The sequence below is a fragment of the Homo sapiens genome, chromosome 2, assembly GCF_000001405.40.
Source record: "Homo sapiens chromosome 2, GRCh38.p14 Primary Assembly".
NCBI lineage: Eukaryota > Metazoa > Chordata > Mammalia > Primates > Hominidae > Homo > Homo sapiens.
In genome coordinates, this window is record NC_000002.12 from 130,458,496 (window position 1) to 130,470,986 (window position 12,491).

The 12,491-nt window shown below is 41.1% G+C and overlaps 1 protein-coding gene across 6 annotated transcripts in view; it reads right to left on the bottom strand.

Annotated features, from left to right (window-relative positions):
* Positions 1-959: 959 nt before the first annotated feature.
* Positions 960-12,491, bottom strand: part of POTEI (POTE ankyrin domain family member I) — a 50,253-nt gene continuing 38,721 nt past the window's right edge. For all 6 annotated transcript variants that reach the window (XM_024453046.2, NM_001371926.1, XM_017004732.3 and 3 more), the window contains 2 exons: positions 7,157-7,277; positions 960-5,649 (listed from right to left, as the gene is read on the bottom strand). In XM_024453046.2, coding sequence (XP_024308814.1) covers positions 4,321-5,649; positions 7,157-7,277 — 1,450 coding nt within the window. In that variant the 3' untranslated portion in view covers positions 960-4,320. The remainder of the gene's footprint in view (positions 5,650-7,156; positions 7,278-12,491) is intronic.

The following is a 12,491-nucleotide window of genomic DNA, read 5'->3' on the forward strand; positions in this document are numbered from 1 at the left end:
GGAGATATACCTCATGTTAAATGACGAGTTAATGGGTGCAGCACACCAACATGGCACATGTATACATATGTAACAAACCTGCACATTGTGCACATGTACCCTAAAACTTAAAGTATAATAATAAAATTTAAAAATTAAAAAAAAGTTTTAAAAAATTTCCAACTGGATTTTTTTTTGTTTTTTGTGGTTTTTTTTTTTGTTGTTTTTTTGTTTTGTTTTGTTTTTGTTTTTGTTTTGCAGCCCCAGGAGTTTTAGCCAATTCAGATGCCTTGCTCCCCACAATTTGGAACATTCCTTTGGATTTGACCAAGTCAGGAAGAGATGGGAGAAAAGTGAAACAACAATAAAACCCCAAACATAAACAAAAAGAGTTAAGCAAAACAAACAAATGCACAATTCATATGATTAACTGAGTGTTCTAATGGTAAGGAGGAATTAAAAGCAGCTGGTGGGTAATCTTAAATTTTAGTCATTAAGGAAAAATTTTAAGACAAAACTCTAATTCAGCTACTTACCTGGAAATAAGGCTCAGACTGGGTGATCATTCTCTGCCATCTTAGAAGCTGGAAAAACTTACACTCACCTTCCCTGTCAGAAGCAAGCTGAAACTCAGGAAAGGAGGTGCCTGCTCTCCTTTGTCAATGGAAGCAGGAAAACTTGCCTTCCTTGTTGGAAATGAGTAAAACTTCAAAAAAGGAGTTGTACAGCAAAATCAACCTTACATCTCAACCAAATTTTCGGAGATCAGGGACTCTGTGAAGGGGAGAAGCTCCACAACCTCAGCAAATTATCCTATTGGTTTGGGCAATACAAATAGCCCAGGTTGGTATCAAGCAATAATGAGATTTATCAAAGGTCAGGACCACCTTTGTAATGTCCTTCTCTTTTTTTATCTTTATTGGTAGAGTCTGTTTTGTCAGAAACTGGGAGTGCAACACCTTTTTTCTGTTTTCCATTTGCTTGAAATATTTTTCTCCATTCCTTTATTTTGAGCCTATGTATGGCACTGCACGTGAGATGGGTTGCTTGAAGACGGCATACTCCAGTGGGTCTTGGTTCTTTACCCAGCTTGCCCCGTGTCTTTCAATGGGAGCATTTAGCCCATTTACATTTAAGGTTAGTAATGGTATGTGTGGATTTTATCCTGTCGTCATGCTGTCAGCTGGTTATTTTGCAGACTTACATATGTGCTTGCTTTTTAGCATCATTGGACTGTGTACTTCAGTGTGTTTTTGTAGTAGCAGGTGATGATCTTTTCTTTCCATATTTAGTGCTTCCTTCAGGAGCTCTCGTAAGGTAGATCTGGTGATACCAAATTCCCTCAGCACTTGCTTGTCTGAAAAGGATCTTATTTCTCCTTCACTTATGATGCTTAATTTTGCTGGACATGAAATTCTGGGCTGAAATTTCTTTTCTTTAATGGCAGTTGATGTGGGTTGGGGTGTGTGCTGCACTCCTGTGTGCTCTCAGGGCAAGTAAAGCAAAACCCACCCGTGTAAACACACACAGCAAAGTGATTTAGGAAGTTTCCAAATAAAGGGCTGCCGTATGGAGAGGCAATGTGCAGGCTGGTGCGTGGCTCTAGGGGCCACCTTGCTGCAGCTCTCCACTGATATGGTACAGTCCACTAGCACGGAAGCTATGGTGTGGGCATCTAAGAGTGCCCCGTAAGCAGGTGTGGCCAGGCTGGGGCCATGGGAGAGGCGAGCAGACTAAGGAGTGCTGAGATCAGACCAGCCCCATCTCAAGTGCAAGATTGCCCAGCCTCCAGAGATCAGGTCTCAGAGGAGAACTCTCTCAAAAGTGAACCCCCAGCACAGCACAGCCGCTCTACACAAACGTGGCTAGACTTCTTTTATTAAGCAAGTCTCCTTTTTTTAAAAAGGGAACTCTCGGACCTGATCTCTGCTGGGCAATCTTGCATATAAGATGTGGCTGGTATGACCTCAGTATTCCTAAAGTGCTGGGATAAAGTGTCTCACAAGGGCAAGTGGACCCTAGAGAGACAGCCATCCCTGACCTCTGGGCTCCACATCACCTGACTTGCTGCTCCACCACTTTGCTTGTTTCCTGGGTGCTCCATCCCAGAGACATGTGAGTTAGCAATCACTTAGTGTAATCAGCCCAGGATGGAGGGTCTGTGCTGTGGGCCCAAGCCAGGGTTCCCTGTCTGGTGATGAGTAGTGGAGGGTGTGTGGTACCCGTGGGAGATGGACTGGCTTGTTCTTTGGGTCAACTGCAGCTTATTGGAGGTGTTGATAGGGCACTTAGGGTCTTTGCTCCCTTGCATCTTCTGAGGGCAGCAAGGGCAGTTCCACTGCAGAGGCAGTGGCAGAAAGGATTTCATTTGCTCCTGGAAGCTCTGTCCCAGGAACTGCAGAGTTGCTACTGGCTTGATAGCTCCAGTGGTGGGCTGGCTAGAGACCCAGGCCAGGAGGATCTGCCCATCAAGTAGAGAGCCTGGCCACTTTTCTGTAGGGCTGCTGTGGTATGCTGGGGGTCCCCTCCAGTCCCTAATTGCCTTGTATTTTCCAGGGAAGATGATAGTCTGCCCCTTCCTCTGGAAGCTCTGTACCACTGAGGTACGAACCTGTTGCCAATCTGAACACACCTATAAGATGTGGCTGGAGGCAAGTTGAGAAGTCTTACCTAGTCAGGACGAACAAGAACAGGGACTTGCTTCAAAAAGAAAAGTCTGGCCACGTTTTTATAGAGCAGCTGTGCTGTGCTGGGGGTTCACTTCAGCCCCTGGTCCGCCTCAGACACTCTGAAGCCCTAAGGCTGAAATGCCTGGGTCGCCCCAACAGCAAAGATGACAATCTGGTCCTCCCCCTGGGAGCTCTGACTCAGGGAGGCCTGAGACCTCTGTCGGCCAGAGAACAGCAGTCAAGGTAGCCAGAGACCCTGGTTGAAAGACTTCACCCACTGACTAGAAATGTGGTCAGGGACTGACGTAAACAAGAGTCTGGCCACGTTTTGGTAGCGTGGCTGTGCTGTGCTGAGGTACCTCTTCCACCCCTTGTCAGCTTGGGCTCTCCAAAGCCCGCAGGCCAGAATGGCTAGTCACCGAAAGAGCAAAGGTGGGGGCCTGCCCCTCTCCGGGAGCTCTGTCCCAGGAACATTTCACATTTCCATTGGCCAAGGAATGCTGGTGGGGGTAGCTGGAGGCCCCAGTTGGGAGGTCCTGTCCAGTGAGATGGAACAGGATCAGGGGCCTGCTTACAGAAGCAGTCTGGCCATGATTTGGTAAAGCAGCTATGCTGTGCTGTGGGATCTCTTCTGTCCCTCGTCGGTTTGTACTCTCCAAAGCCCGCAGGCTGGAATGACTAAGTTGCCTGAACGGGAAAGATGGCGGCCTGCCCCGTCTTTTCTCTCAGAGTTTTATCTTGTTTCATGGAGCTTAATTTTTAGCCTGTTGATTTTACTGTCTACGTTAGACTTGTTGAGAAAGAATCTGTTCTCTTTTAGGTGAGATAAATGAGAATTCATTGTCTTCTGTAAATAAACCTGTTCATGTCTTGTTCTCTGGAAAGAAGTCTCTTTCAGCTATCTGACTTTGGTCACAATCATGTAGAGCAGCAGCCAGTCTACAATGACGTAATTGAATTTCCATTTCCGGTGTTTCCTCGTTGTGTCTTACATTGTCCAGTTCAGAACTGAGCATTTTATTCTCAGTTGTCAACATGCTAAGCTGTCCACTGTACTGAAATACTGTGCTTCCTCAATTTTTTTTAAGGTGTGCACTTTTATCCAACTCTCCTCAAGTCAGAGTACAGGTAAGCCCTGGCTGCCTCCAGCCACTCTCAGGGAGACCAAAAGCCTTCATACACCCCAAGTTGGGGTACAAAAGAGGGGGGCCACGAAGGCTGATCATTCAAAATAAAACAAAATTAAAAAGTATTAAGGCGAAGATTCAAAAAATTTTGCATTATGTAATCTGCACAAAAGCAATGCTATCACCTCCCCTGTGTGAACTAGGGAGAGGACTGGGCCATTCTCCTTAGAGAGAAGTGGGGTGGCTTTTAGCAGGGCAAGGGGCTTCCTGAAACAATGCGTCTCACAATATTTGGAATGACTATTGAAAAGAAGAACAATGTACAATCAAAGTCCTTGGCCACATTGTAGAACTTTGGAGGAAGCTTCCTCCAACCGACTGCTGTCACCTTCACCATTCCGGTTTTTAAATCCTGAGTCAAGCCAATAAAAAACAAAACAAAAAATGAAACAAGAAAACAAATAAAGCCATGCCAATCTCATGTTGTTTTCTGAGAAGTTTGGTTTTGTCAAGAAAGGGTGTAACGCAACTAAGTCAGAGTCCACCTAGAAGCATTTGCGGTGGACAATGGAGGGGCCTGACTCATCATACTCCTGCTTGCTGATCCACATCTGCTGGAAGGTGGACAGCGAGGCCAGGATGGAGCCACCGACCCACACGGAGTACTTGCGCTTGGGAGGAGCAATGATCCTGATCTTCAACATGCTAGGCGCCAGGGCAGCGATCTCCTTCTGCATTCTGTGGGCCATGCCAGGGTACATGGTGGTGCCGCCAGACAGCACTGTGTTGGTGTACAGGTCTTTGCGGATGTCCACATCAGACTTCATGATGGAGTTGAAGGTAGTTTCATGGATGCCACAGGATTCCATGCCCAGGAAGCAAGGCTGGAAGAGCGCCTCGGGGCAGCGGAACCACTCGTTGCCGATGGTGATGACCTGGCCATCGGGCAGCTCGTAGCTCTTCTCTAGGGAGGAGCTGGAGGCCGCCATGGCCATCTCCTGCTCGAAGTCCAGGGCAACATAGCACAGCTTCTCTTTGATGTCACGCACGATTTCCCGCTCGGCCATGGTGGTGAACCTATAGCCACGCTCGGTGAGGATCTTCATGAGGTAGTCAGTCAGTTCCCGCCCAGCCAGGTCTAGGCGCAGGGTGGCATGGGGGAGGGCATTCCCATCATAGATGGGCACAGTGTGGGTGACCCCGTCACCAGAGTCCATCACGATGCCAGTAGTACGGCCAGAGGTGTACAGGGACAGCATGGCCTGGATGGCCACGTACATGGCTGGGGTGTTGAAGGTCTCAAACATGATCTGGGTCATCTTCTCGCGGTTGGCCTTGGGGTTCAGGGGGGCCTCGGTCAGCAGGATGGGGTGCTCCTCAGGGGCCACACGCAGCTCGTTGTAGAAGGTGTGGTGCCAGATCTTCTCCATGTCATCCCAGTTGGTGATGATGCCGTGTTCCATGGGGTACTTCAGGGTCAGGATGCCTCTCTTGCTCTGGGCCTCCTTGCCCACATAGGACTCTTTCTGATGCATGCCCCCCATCATGCCCTGCTGCCTGGGGCGCCCCACGATGGAAGGGAAGACAGCCCGGGGGGCATCGTCGCCCGCAAAGCCGGCCTTGCACATGCCAGAGCCGTTGTCAATGACGAGCACGGCGGTATCATCATCCATGGTGAGCTCATTCAATTGTAGAGCCTTTAAAAGATTATCATTCTTTTTTTTCACACTTTCAATATCCTCCAAATATTTCTTTTTTCTTAGCTGGCTCTGATGTTTCATTGTGTCTAGCTCCAGTCTTAGCATGGCAATTTCTTCCCGCAACGTACTATTTTCATGCAAGAAGTCTTTTTCTTTCTTACAACTAAGAGAAAGCTAAGTAAACAAAGAGAACTTTTAGTTAGCACTCAATAGATTGACATATCATTATTTCTTCTGAAATTCAAAAATAACATGTATTTGTATAATGAAAGAATCCCCATAGTGGATATTTAACTGGAAAAAAATTGGACAAAACTTCAAACCTAATAAGAGTGTAAATTCCTCCAGTGATTTATTTTTCATCGCCTTTAAATAAATATTTAAACTTTTAGGAATCTGCTCCTAAATTCCTAAAAGTTTAAATATTTATTTAAAGACGATGAAAAATAAATCACTAGAGGATTTTTAAGAATCCCAGAATTAAAAAAGCCTTTTTCTGAGTTACAAAAAACCCAGAGGCATAAAATATAAGATTAACAATTTGACTACATTTTTAAGATTAGGTTTACACTCTGATATCTAACCTATCAACCACACCATCCTAAGAGCCTTAGCTATGCATATATTTGGACAGAAGCAATTTCTCAAAGTTCTTAAAGTTCTTTTACTGAAGAACATTTTACCGATATTCTACATTTCTAATATTTCTATACTCAGTTATAAGAATTACATTTATTTATAACTGTCAAATCTAAGCACTGTACCCTTCTACACTGTACACATCTGTATCTAGGCATTCCACTTCTACATATAACACTGAACTCATTTAAGATCGCGATTCTTAAAAGGAGAGGTCAAAAAATATACACAGATGCAGGATTTTCCCCAGGTCTGCTGATGCTACTTCTAGTGATCCTCCACAAAACCACACTTACTTCTGTGGTGTAAATATATAAATACAAAAGAAACCTTTTGTTTCAAAATATGAATGGTAAATAAGATACAACTTATAGAGATTTTCTTAGAAATCATGAGATTATTTGCCATTGCGGTAACTTTTATTTCCTCTTTATAATGTTTGAAACAGTAGTAATGGTGAAATAGGGGAAATATACTGAACTATTTCTCCAGAAACAAAATACTTATCAATAAATTATTACTAAATGTGTATCATGGCATGTCATTGTTTTCAAACCTCTTTACACTGAAATGAGAAACTACTTGGAGCAAACTGTTCCTCTCTGCAAAAGTAAGGATAATGGTATCCACAATGTGGCCTCTGACCCAGCTATACATTTCCTACTTTCTTATCAGTAAAAATAATCAATTGACTTCTCTATTAACATTTTTTAAAAAACTAATGTCCAAAAATGAGAAAATCTGTTTTCAGTAGCAAAACTTATTTCTGATGTGGAAAGATCGTCAATTCTTATGAAAAACATCAAATACTTCTCCTTTGGATTGAGGCCATTGTGCAAGTCACTACTCAACTGTTGCAGGCAAATGAAGGTGAATTAAGAACATGGCTTTATCCTATACGTACGTATATAGATATATGACAAAGGATATATAGAATATATACACACATATATATGACTTAAAAATCCTTTATATTTCCAAAATACAGTTCTTTAAAATATACACACATATAAAAACATTTGAAAATAACTAAAGAAAATACCTCAGAATTCATTTTTTCAACCACTTCTATCTGCTTTTCTTCATGAATCAGAATCTCATCGTGTAATATTCCAGTGTTCTGTTCTTCACAAAATTGCTTCTGAGTATCATTTTGTTCGTCACTAGAAGAAATTTTAATTTTCATGAAATACTGGAGCTGTCCCTAAAATGATGTACAGGGCAAGATGGCGCCATCAGATGTCATTCACACAATGCATATCTGCACATTATTCCAAGACAAGGCAAAGGGGTCTCACATCTGTTAACCAGGTGTCCCCAACCATGCTGGCACCAGGGACTGGTTTTGTGGAAGATAATTTTTCCAGGAACCTGAGGTGGGGGATGGTTCCAGGATGATTCAAGTATATTACATTCATTGTGCACTTTATTTCTATTATTATTAATATATAATGAAATAATTATATCTCACCAAAATGTAGAATCAGAGGGAGCCCTGAGCTTGTTTTCCTGCAACTAGATGGTCCCATTTGGGGGTGACGGAAGATGGTGACAGATCAGAAAGGCATTCGATTCTCATAAGGAGTGAACAACCTATATCCCCCTGCATGAGCAACTTACAACAGGGTTCAGGTCACACTCAGGACAATCTAATGCCACCGCTGATCTGACAGGAGGAGGAGCTCGGGCGGTAATGCGAGCGACAGAGAGTGGCTGTAAACAGATGGAGCTTCACTTGCTCACCTGCCTCGAACCTCCTGCTGTGTGGCCCAGGTCCTAACAGGCCAGGGATTGCTAATGGTCTGTGTCCTGTAACCCATACTCTTTATGTTTATTGTTTGGAAACACTTTCTACTTATATTCTTGATTCCTATGTATTTTATAAACAACTTAGAAATTCCTTTTAGAACAAGACAGGGTATAATATGTTTTTAACATAGGACTTTGAAATAATTTTATCTGTGTATGAGAGAGAGATGTGAAATAAACTCATCGTTAAGCACTTTCCATTTTACTTTTATTTCATGCATATTAAAAATAAAACTGGGAAGTCCTAGGCAGAGCAATTGGGCAAGAGAAATAAAGGGCATCCAAATTGGAAAAGAGGAAGTCAAACTATCTCTTCACCAATGATATTATCCTATACCTAGAAAACCCTAAAGACTCCTACAAAACACTCCTAGATTTGATACATGAATTCAGTAAAGTCTCAGAGGTTACAAAATAAATGAATACCAATCAGTAGCACCACTATACACCAACTACAACCAAGCTGAGAGTTCATATCAACAATCCAATCCCTTTTACAGTGGCTGCAAAAAAGTGTGAAGCACCTAGGAATATACTTAATGAAAAAAGTGAGTGATCTATATAAAGATAACTGGAAAACACCACCAAAGAAAATAACAGATGACACAAACAAATGAAAATACATCCTATGTTCATGGACTGAAAGAACTGATATAGTGAAAATGACCATAGTGCCCAAAGCAGTCTACACATTCTATACAATACCTACCAAAGTACCAATGTCATTCTTCACAGAATTATTTTAAAATGCTGACATTCATGTAGAACCACAAAAGAGCCTGAACAGCAACAGACATACCAAGCAAAAGGAACAAATATGTTGGCATCACATTACCTGACTTCAAATGATACTCTAAGACCACAGTAACAGAAGCAGCGTGGTACTCGTATAAAAACAGATACATAGATCAATGGAACAGAACAGACAACTCAGAAATAAAGCCACTACAACCAAGTGATCTCTGAGCAAGGATACAAAAACATACACTGGAGAAAGTACAGGTTATTCAATAAATGGTGCTGGGAAAAAAAGATAGCCACATGTGGAAGAATGAAACTGGATCTCTATCTCTCACCATATACAAAAATTAATTCAAGATGGATGAAAGGCCTAAACCTAAGACCTGAAAACATTGGCCTAGGCAAAGGATTTATGAGGAAGACCCTAAAAGCAAATCCAACAAAAATGTAAATAAATAAATAAGACCTAATTAAACTAAAAAGCTTCAGCACAGCAAAAGAAATAATCATCAAACAACAACTTATACAATGGGAAAATTTTGAAAATTATGACGCTAACAAACGACTAATATCTATAACCTACAAGAAACTCAAACAAATCAACAGGAAAAACGCAAATAATTCCATTGGAAAGTGGCCAAATTACATGAATAGACATTTCTCAAAAGAAGAGGTACAAACGGTAAACAAGCATATAAAAACATGCTAAATATCTCTAATCATCAGGGAAATGTACAATAAAACCACAGTGAGATATCACCTCACTGCAGCCAGAATGGCCACTATTAGAAATCAAAAAACAACAGATGTTGGTGTGGACGCGGTGAAAAGACAACAGTGATACACTGCTGGTGGGAATGCAACTTCATACAAATCTATGGAAAACAGTATGGAGAGTTCTCAAAGAACTAAAAGTAGATCCTACCATTTTATCCAACATTCTCATTTCCAGATATCTACACAAAATAAAAGAAATCGTACTCTCAAAAGGACACCCGCACACATATGTTTACTGCAGCACAATTCACAATATGCAAAGATATGGAATCAACCAGTGTCCATCAACTGATGAGTGGAATAAAGAAAATGGACGTATATACATATATATATCTCACATCACATATATGTATCATATATATGTATGTGTGTATATACACTCACACATATACATATGTACATAGCTGAGACTGGGTAATTCACACACATACATACCTGAGACTAGGTAATTCATAAAGGAAAGAGGATTAATTGATTCACAGTTACGCATGGCTGGGGAGGCCTCAGGAAACTTAACAACCATGGTAGAAGGGGAAGGGGAAGCAGGCACCTTCTTCATAAGGCGGCGGGAGAGAGAGAAGAGAGAAGTGAAGCGCAAAGAGCCCCTTATGAAACCGTCAGCTCTTGTGAGAACTCACTCACTATCACAAGAACAGCATGGAGGAAACCGACCCCATGAGCCAATCACCTCCCAGCTGGTCTTTCCTCAACACCTGGTAATTACAATTTGACATGAGATTTGCATAGAAACACAAAGCCAAACTATTGGGGGGGGGGGTATCCTTATTTTTAAAATATCTAAATGTCATTATTTATAATTCAAAATAGCAATTTTTATTACTTATGATTTTGTTTGAAAACAAAATGATCTCGTAAATTTTCTTCACTTTTAACCTATTCAGTCAAAATATAGAAAAAGCTAGATTTGCCAGCAGAAAATTGTAACAACTTTTTAATGAGATAAAAATGTATAACAATATCACTAGTATTGTACAGAGAAAAAAGTGAACAAGAAAAGGAATTTAAAAACACAGAATATGACTATCATATACATACATGAACTGACAAAGAGACTAAAATCTCCTACTGGAGATTATGTTAGGACTTGAGCAAAAGCTTCTAAAAATACCAAAAACAAAAACAAAACAATTATTTTTAAGAAATAAATTATACAGAGAACTCTTCTGGTTAAGATGATGTATCAAAAAAAAAAATCTTCGTGAGAGCTATTATTAACCAAGTCATCATAACCAAAACTTTAAATCCACAATTCTGGAATATTAAAAAGTTTCTTTTTGAACATAGTTAATGGAAGGCAACTTTTGAACAGAAAATTTCTGGTTAAAGTTGACTCAAACTTAGGAAAGAATTGACCTGTAGCCATGGTAACAAGAAGCCAGCCAGAGCCAGTTCAAAATCTAGTCAATCGATCAATGACCACTGGCCTTGCTCACCAACCAATATCAGTGTGAGCAGCCTGCTTCTGAAAGACAGCCAAGCAGCAACAGCTGCTCCATCAGAATAGACAGTGCCTGACCAGTATAGTCTTACTATCGGAAGCAAAAAATTCCAACTGTCTTTTTATTTCAAATACCGAAGGTCCATAATCCCTTGGAAAGAATTTGTGAGTCCATTACATTTACCACCCTAAAAAAAATAAAATACTAGTGGCCGGATGTGGTGGCTTACACCTGTAATCCACCCAGCACTTTGTGAGGATGAGGTGGGTGGACTGCCTGAGGTCAGGAGTTCAAGACCAGCCTGACAAACAGGATGAAACCCCGTCTCTACTAAAAATACAAAAATTAGCCGGGTGTCATGGCACGCACCTGTAATCCCAGCTCCTCAGGGGGCTGAGGTAGGAGAATCGCCTGAACCCAGGAGGCAGAGGTTGCAGTGAGCCGAGGTCACACCACTGCACTGCAGCCTGGGTGACAGAGCGAGACTCTGTCTCTAAATAAATAAAATACCAGTAAAGCTTGTAATTTCTCTAACTCATTTTACCATAATTGCAATTATCATGATTACCAGTAAAAGAATAGTGAATAACCACAATATTGGGCTTTTCTCCCTAAGTGAAAAAATATTAATATAAAGAATGTAGCTTATTATAAAAAGCCGAAAGAATTTTTAAAATACATATAATTACCAGGCAAAATTGTTAAAATGAACCTTGTCAAACATTTTTTAAGTGAGAATCAATCAAACAATATACCCGGGATAAACTCCATTCATTCATTTAATACCTATTTATTAGGTAGCTACGTCTGATAGGCTAGGCCTTTTTCTAGGAAGTGAGGATATGGTAATGAACAATAAAAACCCTATTCATGAGAGTGAGATAAACACACAATAACAACAGACAGATACGGCAAAATACACAGTACGTTAGAGGAGAAAAACCAAAGCAGGAAAATGAAATCTTTATGTGTTTGATGGGAAGGGTGGTGGGAAAGTTGGGATGGCCAGAAAAGTCCCTGCTGAGAAAGAGGATTTTTCTTTAATATAAAGAAACTTTTATTTGTACATCAAAGACTCTAAAAGATGATGATGTTAACAGAGTTGATGTCAAGACACAAATAGGTTTGAAGTTAGAGATGATAAATCACTTTGTTTCATTGAAACTTCCCTCAATTACGTTAGAGAGCATCCCTGGTATGTTCCCAATCGAATCTCAAGCCTGACGCGTCCTGATGATACAATCCTAATTCCTTTCTGTTAGTCCTCATTATCTCTCTTTTTTTTCATTTTCTTCATTTTCTCTGGGCTAGGAATTGTGCTGGTACATGGTTCTCCCTCAGGAAGTGGTTATTCCTTAATGGGTTTCTTTTTACCCTTTTTCTTCTTCTTAGAAAGGGGATTTTAAGTAAAGAGCTGAAGTAATGGAAACAGTAAGCTAGAAGAATATCTGGGGAAAAAGCATTCCAGACACAGGGAACTGCTAAGTGCAGAGGTGTGCCTGGAGTCTTTAAGCACTAAGGGATAGGTAAGGAATAACAACAAGTTCAGTGTGGCTGAAACACAGCAATAGAGATAAGAAACAGAAGTTT